Consider the following 18,859-nt stretch of genomic DNA (forward strand, 5'->3'; position numbering starts at 1 on the left):
CTCACAGAGTTTAACCTTTCTTTTCATAGAGGAGTTTGGAAACACACTGTTTGTAAAGTCTGCAAGTGGATATATGGACCTGTTTGAGGCCTTCGTTGGAAACGGGATTTCTTCATTGAATGCTAGGCGGAGGAATTCTCAGTAAATTCTTTGTGTTGTGTGCATTCAACTCACAGAGTGGAACGTCCCTTTAGACAGAGCAGATTTGAAACACTCTTTTTGCGGAATTTGCAAGTGGAGATTTCTAGCCATTTGATGCCAACAGTAGAAAGGGAAATATCTTCAAATAAAAACCAGACAGAATCATTCTCAGAAAATTCTTTGTGATGTGTGCGTTCAACTCACATAGTTTAACCTTTCTTTTCATAGAGCAGTTTGGAAACACTCTGTTTGTGATGTCTGCAAGTGGATATATAGACCGCATTGAGGCCTTCGTTGGAAACGGGATTTCTTCATTTCATGCTAGACAGAAGAATTCTCAGTAACTTCTTTGTGCTGTGTGTATTCAACTCACAGAGTGGAACGTCCCTTTGCACAGAGCAGATTTGAAACACTCTTTTTGTGGAGTTTGCAAGTGGATATTTCAAGCGATTTGATGCCAACAGTAGAAAAGGAAATATCTTCAAATAAAAACTAGACAGAATCATTCTCAGAAACTACTTTGTGATGTGTGCCTTCAACTCACAGAGTTTAACCTTTCTTTTCTTAGAGCAGTTTAGAAACACTCTGCTTGTTATGTCTGCAAGTGGATATTTGGACCTCTTTGAGGCCTTCGTTGCAAACGGGGTTTCTTCCTTTCATGCTAGACTAAGAAGAGTTCTCAGTAACTTTTTTGTGTTGTGTGTATTCAACTCACAGAGTTGAACCTTGCTTTAGAGAGAGCAGATTTGAAACACTCTTGCTGTGGCATTTTCACGTGGAGATTTCAAGCGATTTGAGGACAATTGCAGAAAAGGAAATATCTTCGTATAATAACCAGACAGAATCATTCTCAGAAAGTGCTTTGTGATGTGTGCGTTCAACTCACAGAGTTTAACCTTTCTTTTCATAGAGGAGTTTGGAAACACACTGTTTGTAAAGTCTGCAATTGGATATATGGACCTGTTTGAGGCCTTCGTTGGAAACGGGATTTCTTCATTGAATGCTAGACGGAAGAATTCTCAGTAAATTCTTTGTGTTGTGTGCATTCAACTCACAGAGTGGAACGTCCCTTTAGACAGAGCAGATTTGAAACACTCTTTTTGCGGAATTTGCAAGTGGAGATTTCTAGCCATTTGATGCCAACAGTAGAAAGGGAAATATCTTCAAATAAAAACCAGACAGAATCATTCTCAGAAAATTCTTTGTGATGTGTGCGTTCAACTCACATAGTTTAACCTTTCTTTTCATAGAGCAGTTTGGAAACACTCTGTTTGTAAAGTCTGCAAGTGGATATATGGACCGCATTGAGGCCTTCGTTGGAAACGGGATTTCTTCATTTCATGCTAGACAGAAGAATTCTCAGTAACTTCTTTGTGCTGTGTGTATTCAACTCACAGAGTGGAACGTCCCTTTGCACAGAGCAGATTTGAAACACTCTTTTTGTGGAGTTTGCAAGTGGAGATTTCAAGCGATTTGATGCCAACAGTAGAAAAGGAAGTATCTTCAAATAAAAACTAGACAGAATCATTCTCAGAAACTACTTTGTGATGTGTGCCTTCAACTCACCGAGTTTAACCTTTCTTTTCTGAGAGCAGCTTAGAAACACTCTGCTTGTTATGTCTGCAAGTTGATATTTGGACCTCTTTGAGGCCTTCGTTGCAAACGGGGTTTCTTCATTTAATGCTAGACTAAGAAGAGTTCTCAGTAACTTTTTTGTGTTGTGTGTATTCAACTCACAGAGTTGAACCTTGCTTTAGAGAGAGCAGATTTGAAACACTCTTGCTGTGGCATTTTCAGGTGGAGATTTCAAGCGATTTGAGGACAATTGCAGAAAAGGAAATATCTTCGTATAATAACCAGACAGAATCATTCTCAGAAAGTGCTTTGTGTTGTGTGCGTTCAACTCACAGAGTTTAACCTTTCTTTTCATAGAGGAGTTTGGAAACACACTGTTTGTAAAGTCTGCAATTGGATATATGGACCTGTTTGAGGCCTTCGTTGGAAACGGGATTTCTTCATTGAATGCTAGACGGAAGAATTCTCAGTAAATTCTTTGTGTTGTGTGCATTCAACTCACAGAGTGGAACGTCCCTTTAGACAGAGCAGATTTGAAACACTCTTTTTGCGGAATTTGCAAGTGGAGATTTCTAGCCATTTGATGCCAACAGTAGAAAGGGAAATATCTTCAAATAAAAACCAGACAGAATCATTCTCAGAAAATTCTTTGTGATGTGTGCGTTCAACTCACATAGTTTAACCTTTCTTTTCATAGAGCAGTTTGGAAACACTCTGTTTGTAAAGTCTGCAAGTGGATATATGGACCGCATTGAGGCCTTCGTTGGAAACGGGATTTCTTCATTTCATGCTAGACAGAAGAATTCTCAGTAACTTCTTTGTGCTGTGTGTATTCAACTCACAGAGTGGAACGTCCCTTTACACAGAGCAGATTTGAAACACTCTTTTTGTGGAGTTTGCAAGTGGAGATTTCAAGCGATTTGATGCCAACAGTAGAAAAGGAAATATCTTCAAATAAAAACTAGACAGAATCATTCTCAGAAACTACTTTGTGATGTGTGCCTTTAACTCACAGAGTTTAACCTTTCTTTTCTTAGAGCAGTTTAGAAACACTCTGCTTGTTATGTCTGCAAGTGGATATTTGGACCTCTTTGAGGCCTTCGTTGCAAACGGGGTTTCTTCCTTTCATGCTAGACTAAGAAGTGTTCTCAGTAACTTTTTTGTGTTGTGTGTATTCAACTCACAGAGTTGAACCTTGCTTTAGAGAGAGCAGATTTGAAACACTCTTGCTGTGGCATTTTCAGGTGGAGATTTCAAGCGATTTGAGGACAATTGCAGAAAAGGAAATATCTTCGTATAATAACCAGACAGAATCATTCTCAGAAAGTGCTTTGTGATGTGTGCGTTCAACTCACAGAGTTTAACCTTTCTTTTCATAGAGGAGTTTGGAAACACACTGTTAGTAAAGTCTGCAGGTGGATATATGGACCTGTTTGAGGCCTTCGTTGGAAACGGGATTTCTTCATTGAATGCTAGACGGAAGAATTCTCAGTAAATTCTTTGTGATGTGTGCATTCAACTCACAGAGTGGAACGTCCCTTTAGACAGAGCAGATTTGAAACACTCTTTTTGCGGAATTTGCAACTGGAGATTTCTAGCCATTTGATGCCAACAGTAGAAAGGGAAATATCTTCAAATAAAAACCAGACAGAATCATTCTCAGAAAATTCTTTGTGATGTGTGCGTTCAACTCACATAGTTTAACCTTTCTTTTCATAGAGCAGTTTGGAAACACTCTGTTTGTAAAGTCTGCAAGTGGATATATGGACCGCATTGAGGCCTTCGTTGGAAACGGGATTTCTTCATTTCATGCTAGACAGAAGAATTCTCAGTAACTTCTTTGTGCTCTGTGTATTCAACTCACAGAGTGGAACGTCCCTTTGCACAGAGCAGATTTGAAACACTCTTTTTGTGGAGTTTGCAAGTGGAGATTTCAAGCGATTTGATGCCAACAGTAGAAAAGGAAATATCTTCAAATAAAAACTAGACAGAGAATCATTCTCAGAAACTACTTTGTGATGTGTGCCTTCAACTCACCGAGTTTAACCTTTCTTTTCTGAGAGCAGCTTAGAAACACTCTGCTTGTTATGTCTGCAAGTTGATATTTGGACCTCTTTGAGGCCTTCGTTGCAAACGGGGTTTCTTCCTTTCATGCTAGACTAAGAAGAGTTCTCAGTAACTTTTTTGTGTTGTGTGTATTCAACTCACAGAGTTGAACCTTGCTTTAGAGAGAGCAGATTTGAAACACTCTTGCTGTGGCATTTTCAGGTGGAGATTTCAAGCGATTTGAGGACAATTGCAGAAAAGGAAATATCTTCGTATAATAACCAGACAGAATCATTCTCAGAAAGTGCTTTGTGATGTGTGCGTTCCACTCACAGAGTTTAACCTTTCTTTTCGTAGAGGAGTTTGGAAACACACTGTTTGTAAAGTCTGCAAGTGGATATATGGACCTGTTTGAGGCCTTCGTTGGAAACGGGATTTCTTCATTGAATGCTAGACGGAAGAATTCTCAGTAAATTCTTTGTGTTGTGTGCATTCAACTCACAGAGTGGAACGTCCCTTTAGACAGAGCAGATTTGAAACACTCTTTTTGCGGAATTTGCAAGTGGAGATTTCTAGCCATTTGATGCCAACAGTAGAAAGGGAAATATCTTCAAATAAAAACCAGACAGAATCATTCTCAGAAAATTCTTTGTGATGTGTGCGTTCAACTCACATAGTTTAACCTTTCTTTTCATAGAGCAGTTTGGAAACACTCTGTTTGTAAAGTCTGCAAGTGGATATATGGACCGCATTGAGGCCTTCGTTGGAAACGGGATTTCTTCATTTCATGCTAGACAGAAGAATTCTCAGTAACTTCTTTGTGCTGTGTGTATTCAACTCACAGAGTGGAACGTCCTTTTACACAGAGCAGATTTGAAACACTCTTTTTGTGGAGTTTGCAAGTGGAGATTTCAAGCGATTTGATGCCAACAGTAGAAAAGGAAATATCTTCAAATAAAAACTAGACAGAATCATTCTCAGAAACTACTTTGTGATGTGTGCCTTCAACTCACAGAGTTTAACCTTTCTTTTCTTAGAGCAGTTTAGAAACACTCTGCTTGTTATGTCTGCAAGTGGATATTTGGACCTCTTTGAGGCCTTCGTTGCAAACGGGATTTCTTCCTTTCATGCTAGACTAAGAAGAGTTCTCAGTAACTTTTTTGTGTTGTGTGTATTCAACTCACAGAGTTGAACCTTGCTTTAGAGAGAGCAGATTTGAAACACTCTTGCTGTGGCATTTTCAGGTGGAGATTTCAAGCGATTTGAGGACAATTGCAGAAAAGGAAATATCTTCGTATAATAACCAGACAGAATCATTCTCAGAAAGTGCTTTGTGATGTGTGCGTTCCACTCACAGAGTTTAACCTTTCTTTTCATAGAGGAGTTTGGAAACAAACTGTTTGTAAACTCTGCAAGTGGATATATGGACCTGTTTGAGGCCTTCGTTGGAAACGGGATTTCTTCATTGAATGCTAGACGGAAGAATTCTCAGTAAATTCTTTGTGTTGTGTGCGTTCAACTCACAGAGTGGAACGTCCCTTTAGACAGAGCAGATTTGAAACACTCTTTTTGCGGAATTTGCAAGTGGAGATTTCTAGCCATTTGATGCCAACAGTAGAAAGGGAAATATCTTCAAATAAAAACCAGACAGAATCATTCTCAGAAAATTCTTTGTGATGTGTGCGTTCAACTCACATAGTTTAACCTTTCTTTTCATAGAGCAGTTTGGAAACACTCTGTTTGTAAAGTCTGCAAGTGGATATATGGACCGCATTGAGGCCTTCGTTGGAAACGGGATTTCTTCATTTCATGCTAGACAGAAGAATTCTCAGTAACTTCTTTGTGCTGTGTGTATTCAACTCACAGAGTGGAACGTCCCTTTGCACAGAGCAGATTTGAAACACTCTTTTTGTGGAGTTTGCAAGTGGAGATTTCAAGCGATTTGATGCCAACAGTAGAAAAGGAAATATCTTCAAATAAAAACTAGACAGAATCATTCTCAGAAACTACTTTGTGATGTGTGCCTTCAACTCACAGAGTTTAACCTTTCTTTTCTTAGAGCAGTTTAGAAACACTCTGCTTGTTATGTCTGCAAGTGGATATTTGGACCTCTTTGAGGCCTTCGTTGCAAACGGGGTTTCTTCCTTTCATGCTAGACTAAGAAGAGTTCTCAGTAACTTTTTTGTGTTGTGTGTATTTAACTCACAGAGTTGAACCTTGCTTTAGAGAGAGCAGATTTGAAACACTCTTGCTGTGGCATTTTCAGGTGGAGATTTCAAGCGATTTGAGGACAATTGCAGAAAAGGAAATATCTTCGTATAATAACCAGACAGAAATCATTCTCAGAAAGTGCTTTGTGATGTGTGCGTTCAACTCACAGAGTTTAACCTTTCTTTTCATAGAGGAGTTTGGAAACACACTGTTTGTAAAGTCTGCAATTGGATATATGGACCTGTTTGAGGCCTTCCTTGGAAACGGGATTTCTTCATTGAATGCTAGGCGGAAGAATTCTCAGTAAATTCTTTGTGTTGTGTGCATTCAACTGACAGAGTGGAACTGTCCCTTTAGACAGAGCAGATTTGAAACACTCTTTTTGCGGAATTTGCAAGTGGAGATTTCTAGCCATTTGATGCCAACAGTAGAAAGGGAAATATCTTCAAATAAAAACCAGACAGAATCATTCTCAGAAAATTCTTTGTGATGTGTGCGTTCAACTCACATAGTTTAACCTTTCTTTTCATAGAGCAGTTTGGAAACACTCTGTTTGTAAAGTCTGCAAGTGGATATATAGACCGCATTGAGGCCTTCGTTGGAAACGGGATTTCTTCATTTCGTGCTAGACAGAAGAATTCTCAGTAACTTCTTTGTGCTGTGTGTATTCAACTCACAGAGTGGAACGTCCCTTTACACAGAGCAGATTTGAAACACTCTTTTTGTGGAGTTTGCAAGTGGAGATTTCAAGCGATTTGATGCCAACAGTAGAAAAGGAAATATCTTCAAATAAAAACTAGACAGAATCATTCTCAGAAACTACTTTGTGATGTGTGCCTTCAACTCACAGAGTTTAACCTTTCTTTTCTTAGAGCAGTTTAGAAACACTCTGCTTGTTATGTCTGCAAGTGGATATTTGGACCTCTTTGAGGCCTTCGTTGCAAACGGGGTTTCTTCCTTTCATGCTAGACTAAGAAGAGTTCTCAGTAACTTTTCTGTGTTGTGTGTATTCAACTCACAGAGTTGAACCTTGCTTTAGAGAGAGCAGATTTGAAACACTCTTGCTGTGACATTTTCAGGTGGAGATTTCAAGCGATTTGAGGACAATTGCAGAAAAGGAAATATCTTTGTATAACAACCAGACAGAATCATTCTCAGAAAGTGCTTTGTGATGTGTGCATTCCACTCACAGAGTTTAACCTTTCTTTTCATAGAGGAGTTTGGAAACACACTGTTTGTAAAGTCTGCAATTGGATATATGGACCTGTTTGAGGCCTTCGTTGGAAACGGGATTTCTTCATTGAATGCTAGACGGAAGAATTCTCAGTAAATTCTTTGTGTTGTGTGCATTCAACTCACAGAGTGGAACGTCCCTTTAGACAGAGCAGATTTGAAACACTCTTTTTGCGGAATTTGCAAGTGGAGATTTCTAGCCATTTGATGCCAACAGTAGAAAGGGAAATATCTTCAAATAAAAACCAGACAGAATCATTCTCAGAAAATTCTTTGTGATGTGTGCGTTCAACTCACATAGTTTAACCTTTCTTTTCATAGAGCAGTTTGGAAACACTCTGTTTGTAAAGTCTGCAAGTGGATATATGGACCTCATTGAGGCCTTCGTTGGAAACGGGATTTCTTCATTTCATGCTAGACAGAAGAATTCTCAGTAACTTCTTTGTGCTGTGTGTATTCAACTCACAGAGTGGAACGTCCCTTTGCACAGAGCAGATTTGAAACACTCTTTTTGTGGAGTTTGCAAGTGGAGATTTCAAGCGATTTGATGCCAACAGTAGAAAAGGAAATATCTTCAAATAAAAACTAGGAAGAATCATTCTCAGAAACTACTTTGTGATGTGTGCCTTCAACTCACAGAGTTTAACCTTTCTTTTCTTAGAGCAGTTTAGAAACACTCTGCTTGTTATGTCTGCAAGTGGATATTTGGACCTCTTTGAGGCCTTCGTTGCAAACGGGGTTTCTTCCTTTCATGCTAGACTAAGAAGAGTTCTCAGTAACTTTTTTGTGTTGTGTGTATTCAACTCACAGAGTTGAACCTTGCTTTAGAGAGAGCAGATTTGAAACACTCTTGCTGTGGCATTTTCAGGTGGAGATTTCAAGCGATTTGAGGACAACTGCAGAAAAGGAAGTATCTTCGTATAATAACCAGACAGAATCATTCTCAGAAAGTGCTTTGTGATGTGTGCGTTCAACTCACAGAGTTTAACCTTTCTTTTCATAGAGGAGTTTGGAAACACACTGTTTGTAAAGTCTGCAAGTGGATATATGGACCTGTTTGAGGCCTTCGTTGGAAACGGGATTTCTTCATTGAATGCTAGACGGAAGAATTCTCAGTAAATTCTTTGTGTTGTGTGCATTCAACTCACAGAGTGGAACGTCCCTTTAGACAGAGCAGATTTGAAACACTCTTTTTGCGGAATTTGCAAGTGGAGATTTCTAGCCATTTGATGCCAACAGTAGAAACGGAAATATCTTCAAATAAAAACCAGACAGAATCATTCTCAGAAAATTCTTTGTGATGTGTGCGTTCAACTCACATAGTTTAACCTTTCTTTTCATAGAGCAGTTTGGAAACACTCTGTTTGTAAAGTCTGCAAGTGGATATATGGACCGCATTGAGGCCTTCGTTGGAAACGGGATTTCTTCATTTCATGCTAGACAGAAGAATTCTCAGTAACTTATTTGTGCTGTGTGTATTCAACTCACAGAGTGGAACGTCCCTTTGCACAGAGCAGATTTGAAACACTCTTTTTGTGGAATTTGCAAGTGGAGATTTCAAGCGATTTGATGCCAACAGTAGAAAAGGAAAATATCTTCAAATAAAAACTAGACAGAATCATTCTCAGAAACTACTTTGTGATGTGTGCCTTCAACTCACAGAGTTTAACCTTTCTTTTCTTAGAGCAGTTTAGAAACACTCTGCTTGTTATGTCTGCAAGTGGATATTTGGACCTCTTTGAGGCCTTCGTTGCAAACGGGGTTTCTTCCTTTCATGCTAGACTAAGAAGAGTTCTCAGTAACTTTTCTGTGTTGTGTGTATTCAACTCACACAGTTGAACCTTGCTTTAGAGAGAGCAGATTTGAAACACTCTTGCTGTGGCATTTTCAGGTGGAGATTTCAAGCGTTTTGAGGACAATTGCAGAAAAGGAAATATCTTCGTATAATAACCAGACAGAATCATTCTCAGAAAGTGCTTTGTGATGTGTGCGTTCCACTCACAGAGTTTAACCTTTCTTTTCATAGAGGAGTTTGGAAACACACTGTTTGTAAACTCTGCAAGTGGATATATGGACCTCTTTGAGGCCTTCGTTGGAAACGGGATTTCTTCATTGAATGCTAGACGGAAGAATTCTCAGTAAATTCTTTGTGTTGTGTGCATTCAACTCACAGAGTGGAACGTCCCTTTAGACAGAGCAGATTTGAAACACTCTTTTTGCGGAATTTGCAAGTGGAGATTTCTAGCCATTTGATGCCAACAGTAGAAAGGGAAATATCTTCAAATAAAAACCAGACAGAATCATTCTCAGAAAATTCTTTGTGATGTGTGCGTTCAACTCACATAGTTTAACCTTTCTTTTCATAGAGCAGTTTGGAAACACTCTGTTTGTAAAGTCTGCAAGTGGATATATGGACCGCATTGAGGCCTTCGTTGGAAACGGGATTTCTTCATTTCATGCTAGACAGAAGAATACTCAGTAACTTCTTTGTGCTGTGTGTATTCAACTCACAGAGTGGAACGTCCCTTTACACAGAGGAGATTTGAAACACTCTTTTTGTGGAGTTTGCAAGTGGAGATTTCAAGCGATTTGATGCCAACAGTAGAAAAGGAAATATCTTCAAATAAAAACTAGACAGAATCATTCTCAGAAACTACTTTGTGATGTGTGCCTTCAACTCACAGAGTTTAACCTTTCTTTTCTTAGAGCAGTTTAGAAACACTCTGCTTGTTATGTCTGCAAGTGGATATTTGGACCTCTTTGAGGCCTTCGTTGCAAACGGGGTTTCTTCCTTTCATGCTAGACTAAGAAGAGTTCTCAGTAACTTTTTTGTGTTGTGTGTATTCAACTCACAGAGTTGAAACTTGCTTTAGAGAGAGCAGATTTGAAACACTCTTGCTGTGGCATTTTCAGGTGGAGATTTCAAGCGATTTGAGGACAATTGCAGAAAAGGAAATATCTTCATATAATAACCAGACAGAATCATTCTCAGAAAGTGCTTTGTGATGTGTGCGTTCAACTCACAGAGTTTAACCTTTCTTTTCATAGAGGAGTTTGGAAACACACTGTTTGTAAAGTCTGCAATTGGATATATGGACCTGTTTGAGGCCTTCGTTGGAAACGGGATTTCTTCATTGAATGCTAGACGGAAGAATTCTCAGTAAATTCTTTGTGTTGTGTGCATTCAACTCACAGAGTGGAACGTCCCTTTAGACAGAGCAGATTTGAAACACTCTTTTTGCGGAATTTGCAAGTGGAGATTTCTAGCCATTTGATGCCAACAGTAGAAAGGGAAATATCTTCAAATAAAAACCAGACAGAATCATTCTCAGAAAATTCTTTGTGATGTGTGCGTTCAACTCACATAGTTTAACCTTTCTTTTCATAGAGCAGTTTGGAAACACTCTGTTTGTAAAGTCTGCAAGTGGATATATGGACCGCATTGAGGCCTTCGTTGGAAACGGGATTTCTTCATTTCATGCTAGACAGAAGAATTCTCAGTAACTTCTTTGTGCTGTGTGTATTCAACTCACAGAGTGGAACGTCCCTTTGCACAGAGCAGATTTGAAACACTCTTTTTGTGGAGTTTGCAAGTGGAGATTTCAAGCGATTTGATGCCAACAGTAGAAAAGGAAATATCTTCAAATAAAAACTAGACAGAATCATTCTCAGAAACTACTTTGTGATGTGTGCCTTCAACTCACAGAGTTTAACCTTTCTTTTCTTAGAGCAGTTTAGAAACACTCTGCTTGTTATGTCTGCAAGTGGATATTTGGACCTCTTTGAGGCCTTCGTTGCAAACGGGGTTTCTTCCTTTCATGCTAGACTAAGAAGAGTTCTCAGTAACTTTTTTGTGTTGTGTGTATTCAACTCACAGAGTTGAACCTTGCTTTAGAGAGAGCAGATTTGAAACACTCTTGCTGTGGCATTTTCAGGTGGAGATTTCAAGCGATTTGAGGACAATTGCAGAAAAGGAAATATCTTCGTATAATAACCAGACAGATAATCATTCTCAGAAAGTGCTTTGTGATGTGTGCGTTCCACTCACAGAGTTTAACCTTTCTTTTCATAGAGGAGTTTGGAAACACACTGTTTGTAAAGTCTGCAAGTGGATATATGGACCTCTTTGAGGCCTTCGTTGGAAACGGGATTTCTTCATTGAATGCTAGACGGAAGAATTCTCAGTAAATTCTTTGTGTTGTGTGCATTCAACTCACAGAGTGGAACGTCCCTTTAGACAGAGCAGATTTGAAACACTCTTTTTGCGGAATTTGCAAGTGGAGATTTCTAGCCATTTGATGCCAACAGTAGAAAGGGAAATATCTTCAAATAAAAACCAGACAGAATCATTCTCAGAAAATTCTTTGTGATGTGTGCGTTCAACTCACATAGTTTAACCTTTCTTTTCATAGAGCAGTTTGGAAACACTCTGTTTGTAAAGTCTGCAAGTGGATATATGGACCGCATTGAGGCCTTCGTTGGAAACGGGATTTCTTCATTTCATGCTAGACAGAAGAATTCTCAGTAACTTCTTTGTGCTGTGTGTATTCAACTCACAGAGTGGAACGTCCCTTTGCACAGAGCAGATTTGAAACACTCTTTTTGTGGAATTTGCAAGTGGAGATTTCAAGCGATTTGATGCCAACAGTAGAAAAGGAAATATCTTCAAATAAAAACTAGACAGAATCATTCTCAGAAACTACTTTGTGATGTGTGCCTTCAACTCACAGAGTTTAACCTTTCTTTTCTTAGAGCAGTTTAGAAACACTCTGCTTGTTATGTCTGCAAGTGGATATTTGGACCTCTTTGAGGCCTTCGTTGCAAACGGGGTTTCTTCCTTTCATGCTAGACTAAGAAGAGTTCTCAGTAACTTTTTTGTGTTGTGTGTATTCAACTCACAGAGTTGAACCTTGCTTTAGAGAGAGCAGATTTGAAACACTCTTGCTGTGGCATTTTCAGGTGGAGATTTCAAGCGATTTGAGGACAATTGCAGAAAAGGAAATATCTTCGTATAATAACCAGACAGAATCATTCTCAGAAAGTGCTTTGTGATGTGTGCGTTCAACTCACAGAGTTTAACCTTTCTTTTCATAGAGGAGTTTGGAAACACACTGTTTGTAAAGTCTGCAATTGGATATATGGACCTGTTTGAGGCCTTCGTTGGAAACGGGATTTCTTCATTGAATGCTAGACGGAAGAATTCTCAGTAAATTCTTTGTGTTGTGTGCATTCAACTCACAGAGTGGAACGTCCCTTTAGACAGAGCAGATTTGAAACACTCTTTTTGCGGAATTTGCAAGTGGAGATTTCTAGCCATTTGATGCCAACAGTAGAAAGGGAAATATCTTCAAATAAAAACCAGACAGAATCATTCTCAGAAAATTCTTTGTGATGTGTGCGTTCAACTCACATAGTTTAACCTTTCTTTTCATAGAGCAGTTTGGAAACACTCTGTTTGTAAAGTCTGCAAGTGGATATATGGACCGCATTGAGGCCTTCGTTGGAAACGGGATTTCTTCATTTCATGCTAGACAGAAGAATTCTCAGTAACTTCTTTGTGCTGTGTGTATTCAACTCACAGAGTGGAACGTCCCTTTGCACAGAGCAGATTAGAAACACTCTTTTTGTGGAATTTGCAAGTGGAGATTTCAAGCGATTTGATGCCAACAGTAGAAAAGGAAATATCTTCAAATAAAAACTAGACAGAATCATTCTCAGAAACTACTTTGTGATGTGTGCCTTCAACTCACAGAGTTTAACCTTTCTTTTCTTAGAGCACTTTAGAAACACTCTGCTTGTTATGTCTGCAAGTGGATATTTGGACCTCTTTGAGGCCTTCGTTGCAAACGGGGTTTCTTCCTTTACATGCTAGACTAAGAAGAGTTCTCAGTAACTTTTTTGTGTTGTGTGTATTCAACTCACAGAGTTGAACCTTGCTTTAGAGAGAGCAGATTTGAAACACTCTTGCTGTGGCATTTTCAGGTGGAGATTTCAAGCGTTTTGAGGACAATTGCAGAAAAGGAAATATCTTCGTATAATAACCAGACAGAATCATTCTCAGAAAGTGCTTTGTGATGTGTGCGTTCCACTCACAGAGTTTAACCTTTCTTTTCATAGAGGAGTTTGGAAACACACTGTTTGTAAAGTCTGCAAGTGGATATATGGACCTCTTTGAGGCCTTCGTTGGAAACGGGATTTCTTCATTGAATGCTAGACGGAAGAATTCTCAGTAAATTCTTTGTGTTGTGTGCATTCAACTCACAGAGTGGAACGTCCCTTTAGACAGAGCAGATTTGAAACACTCTTTTTGCGGAATTTGCAAGTGGAGATTTCTAGCCATTTGATGCCAACAGTAGAAAGGGAAATATCTTCAAATAAAAACCAGACAGAATCATTCTCAGAAAATTCTTTGTGATGTGTGCGTTCAACTCACATAGTTTAACCTTTCTTTTCATAGAGCAGTTTGGAAACACTCTGTTTGTAAAGTCTGCAAGTGGATATATGGACCGCATTGAGGCCTTCGTTGGAAACGGGATTTCTTCATTTCATGCTAGACAGAAGAATTCTCAGTAACTACTTTGTGCTGTGTGTATTCACCTCACAGAGTGGAACGTTCCTTTACACAGAGCAGATTTGAAACACTCTTTTTGTGGAAATTGCAAGTGGAGATTTCAAGCGATTTGATGCCAACAGTAGAAAAGGAATTATCTTCAAATAAAAACTAGACAGAATCATTCTCAGAAACTTCTTTGTGATGTGTGCCCTCAACTCACAGAGTTTAACCTTTCTTTTCTTAGAGCAGTTTAGAAACACTCTGCTTGTTATGTCTGCAAGTGGATATTTGGACCTCTTTGAGGCCTTCGTTGCAAACGGGGTTTCTTCCTTTCATGCTAGACTAAGAAGAGTTCTCAGTAACTTTTTTGTGTTGTGTGTATTCAACTCACAGAGTTGAACCTTGCTTTAGAGAGAGCAGATTTGAAACACTCTTGCTGTGGCATTTTCAGGTGGAGATTTCAAGCGTTTTGAGGACAATTGCAGAAAAGGAAATATCTTCGTATAATAACCAGACAGAATCATTCTCAGAAAGTGCTTTGTGATGTGTGTGTTCCACTCACAGAGTTTAACCTTTCTTTTCATAGAGGAGTTTGGAAACACACTGTTTGTAAAGTCTGCAAGTGGATATATGGACCTGTTTGAGGCCTTCGTTGGAAACGGGATTTCTTCATTGAATGCTAGACGGAAGAATTCTCAGTAAATTCTTTGTGTTGTGTGCATTCAACTCACAGAGTGGAACGTCCCTTTAGACAGAGCAGATTTGAAACACTCTTTTTGCGGAATTTGCAAGTGGAGATTTCTAGCCATTTGATGCCAACAGTAGAAAGGGAAATATCTTCAAATAAAAACCAGGCAGAATCATTCTCAGAAAATTCATTGTGATGTGTGCGTTCAACTCACATAGTTTAACCTTTCTTTTCATAGAGCAGTTTGGAAACACTCTGTTTGTAAAGTCTGCAAGTGGATATATGGACCGCATTGAGGCCTTCGTTGGAAACGGGATTTCTTCATTTCATGCTAGACCGAAGAATTCTCAGTAACTTCTTTGTGCTGTGTGTATTCAACTCACAGAGTGGAACGTCCCTTTGCACAGAGCAGATTTGAAACACTCTTTTTGTGGAATTTGCAAGTGGAGATTTCAAGCGATTTGATGCCAACAGTAGAAAAGGAAATATCTTCAAATAAAAACTAGACAGAATCATTCTCAGAAACTACTTTGTGATGTGTGCCTTCAACTCACAGAGTTTAACCTTTCTTTTCTTAGAGCAGTTTAGAAACACTCTGCTTGTTATGTCTGCAAGTGGATATTTGGACCTCTTTGAGGCCTTCGTTGCAAACGGGGTTTCTTCCTTTCATGCTAGACTAAGAAGAGTTCTCAGTAACTTTTTTGTGTTGTGTGTATTCAACTCACAGAGTTGAACCTTGCTTTAGAGAGAGCAGATTTGAAACACTCTTGCTGTGGCATTTTCAGGTGGAGATTTCAAGCGATTTGAGGACAATTACAGAAAAGGAAATATCTTCGTATAACAACCAGACAGAATCATTCTCAGAAAGTGCTTTGTGATGTGTGCGTTCAACTCACAGAGCTTAACCTTTCTTTTCATAGAGGAGTTTGAAAACACACTGTTTGTAAAGTCTGCAATTGGATATATGGACCTGTTTGAGGCCTTCGTTGGAAACGGGATTTCTTCATTGAATGCTAGACGGAAGAATTCTCAGTAAATTCTTTGTGTTGTGTGCATTCAACTCACAGAGTGGAACGTCCCTTTAGACAGAGCAGATTTGAAACACTCTTTTTGCGGAATTTGCAAGTGGAGATTTCTAGCCATTTGATGCCAACAGTAGAAAGGGAAATATCTTCAAATAAAAACCAGACAGAATCATTCTCAGAAAATTCTTTGTGATGTGTGCGTTCAACTCACATAGTTTAACCTTTCTTTTCATAGAGCAGTTTGGAAACACTCTGTTTGTAAAGTCTGCAAGTGGATATATGGACCGCATTGAGGCCTTCGTTGGAAACGGGATTTCTTCATTTCATGCTAGACAGAAGAATTCTCAGTAACTTCTTTGTGCTGTGTGTATTCCACTCACAGAGTGGAACGTCCCTTTACACAGAGCAGATTTGAAACACTCTTTTTGTGGAGTTTGCAAGTGGAGATTTCAAGCGATTTGATGCCAACAGTAGAAAAGGAAATATCTTCAAATAAAAACTAGACAGAATCATTCTCAGAAAGTGCTTTGTGATGTGTGCGTTCAACTCACAGAGTTTAACCTTTCTTTTCTTAGAGCAGTTTAGAAACACTCTGCTTGTTATGTCTGCAAGTGGATATTTGGACCTCTTTGAGGCCTTCGTTGCAAACGGGGTTTCTTCCTTTCATGCTAGACTAAGAAGAGTTCTCAGTAACTTTTTTGTGTTGTGTGTATTCAACTCACAGAGTTGAACCTTGCTTTAGAGAGAGCAGATTTGAAACACTCTTGCTGTGGCATTTTCAGGTGGAGATTTCAAGCGATTTGAGGACAATTGCAGAAAAGGAAATATCTTCGTATAATAACCAGACAGAATCATTCTCAGAAAGTGCTTTGTGATGTGTGCGTTCAACTCACAGAGTTTAACCTTTCTTTTCATAGAGGAGTTTGGAAACACACTGTTTGTAAAGTCTGCAAGTGGATATATGGACCTGTTTGAGGCCTTCGTTGGAAACGGGATTTCTTCATTGAATGCTAGACGGGAAGAATTCTCAGTAAATTCTTTGTGTTGTGTGCATTGAACTCACAGAGTGGAACGTCCCTTTAGACAGAGCAGATTTGAAACACTCTTTTTGCGGAATTTGCAAGTGGAGATTTCTACCCATTTGATGTCAACAGTAGAAAGGGAAATATCTTCAAATAAAAACCAGACAGAATCATTCTCAGAAAATTCTTTGTGATGTGTACTTTCAACTCACATAGTTTAACCTTTCTTTTCATAGAGCAGTTTGGAAACACTCTGTTTGTAAAGTCTGCAAGTGGATATATGGACCGCATTGAGGCCTTCGTTGGAAACGGGATTTCTTCATTTCATGCTAGACAGAAGAATTCTCAGTAACTTCTTTGTGCTGTGTGTATTCAACTCACAGAGTGGAACGTCCCTTTGCACAGAGCAGATTTGAAACACTCTTTTTGTGGAGTTTGCAAGTGGAGATTTCAAGCGATTTGATGCCAACAGTAGAAAAGGAAATATCTTCAAATAAAAAATAGACAGAATCATTCTCAGAAACTACTTTGTGATGTGTGCCTTTAACTCACAGAGTTTAACCTTTCTTTTCTTAGAGCAGTTTAGAAACACTCTGCTTGTTATGTCTGCAAGTGGATATTTGGACCTCTTTGAGGCCTTCGTTGCAAACGGGGTTTCTTCCTTTCATGCTAGACTAAGAAGAGTTCTCAGCAACTTTTTTGTGTTGTGTGTATTCAACTCACAGAGTTGAACCTTGCTTTAGAGAGAGCAGATTTGAAACACTCTCGCTGTGGAATTTTCAGGTGGAGATTTCAAGCGATTTGAGGACAATTGCAGAAAAGGAAATATCTTCGTATAATAACCAGACAGAATCATTCTCAGAAAGTGCTTTGTGATGTGTGCGTTCAACTCACAGAGTTTAACCTTTCTTTTCATAGAGGAGTTTGGAAACACACTGTTTGTAAAGTCTGCAATTGGATATATGGACCTGTTTGAGGCCTTCGTTGGAAACGGGATTTCTTCATTGAATGCTAGACGGAAGAATTCTCAGTAAATTCTTTGTGTTGTGTGCATTCAACTCACAGAGTGGAACGTCCCTTTAGACAGAGCAGATTTGAAACACTCTTTTTGTGGAATTTGCAAGTGGAGATTTCTAGCCATTTGTTGCCAACAGTAGAAAGGGAAATATCTTCAAATAAAAACCAGACAGAATCATTCTCAGAAAATTCTTTGTGATGTGTGCTTTCAACTCACATAGTTTAACCTTTCTTTTCATAGAGCAGTTTGGAAACACTCTGTTTGTAAAGTCTGCAAGTGGATATATGGACCGCATTGAGGCCTTCGTTGGAAACGGGATTTCTTCATTTCATGCTAGACAGAAGAATTCTCAGTAACTTCTTTGTGCTGTGTGTATTCAACTCACAGAGTGGAACGTCCCTTTGCACAGAGCAGATTTGAAACACTCTTTTTGTGGAGTTTGCAAGTGGAGATTTCAAGCGATTTGATGCCAACAGTAGAAAAGGAAATATCTTCAAATAAAAACTAGACAGAATCATTCTCAGAAACTACTTTGTGATGTGTGCCTTCAACTCACAGAGTTTAACCTTTCTTTTCTTAGAGCAGTTTAGAAACACTCTGCTTGTTATGTCTGCAAGTGGATATTTGGACCTCTTTGAGGCCTTCGTTGCAAACGGGGTTTCTTCCTTTCATGCTAGACTAAGAAGAGTTCTCAGTAACTTTTTTGTGTTGTGTGTATTCAACTCACAGAGTTGAACCTTGCTTTAGAGAGAGCAGATTTGAAACACTCTTGCTGTGGCATTTTCAGGTGGAGATTTCAAGCGATTTGAGGACAATTGCAGAAAAGGAAATATCTTCGTATAATAACCAGACAGAATCATTCTCAGAAAGTGCTTTGTGATGTGTGCGTTCAACTCACAGAGTTTAACCTTTCTTTTCATAGAGGAGTTTGGAAACACACTGTTTGTAAAGTCTGCAAGTGGATATATGGACCTGTTTGAGGCCTTCGTTGGAAACGGGATTTCTTCATTGAATGCTAGACGGAAGAATTCTCAGTAAATTCTTTGTGTTGTGTGCATTCAACTCACAGAGTGGAACGTCCCTTTAGACAGAGCAGATTTGAAACACTCTTTTTGCGGAATTTGCAAGTGGAGATTTCTAGCCATTTGATGCCAACAGTAGAAAGGGAAATATCTTCAAATAAAAACCAGACAGAATCATTCTCAGAAAATTCTTTGTGATGTGTGCGTTCAACTCACATAGTTTAACCTTTCTTTTCATAGAGCAGTTTGGAAACACTCTGTTTGTAAAGTCTGCAAGTGGATCTATGGACCGCATTGAGGCCTTCGTTGGAAACGGGATTTCTTC

General features: G+C 39.0%; 1 annotated feature.

Moving 5' to 3' along the window:
• Window positions 1-18,859: part of a centromere (Linear centromere model derived predominantly from reads generated in PMID: 17803354. This region does not represent an actual centromere sequence, as long-range ordering of repeats and unmapped WGS contigs is not provided by the model. For details of model production, see http://arxiv.org/abs/1307.0035.) that runs on past both edges of the window.

Source organism: Homo sapiens, chromosome 7 (genome assembly GCF_000001405.40).
Source record: "Homo sapiens chromosome 7, GRCh38.p14 Primary Assembly".
NCBI classification, from domain to species: domain Eukaryota; kingdom Metazoa; phylum Chordata; class Mammalia; order Primates; family Hominidae; genus Homo; species Homo sapiens.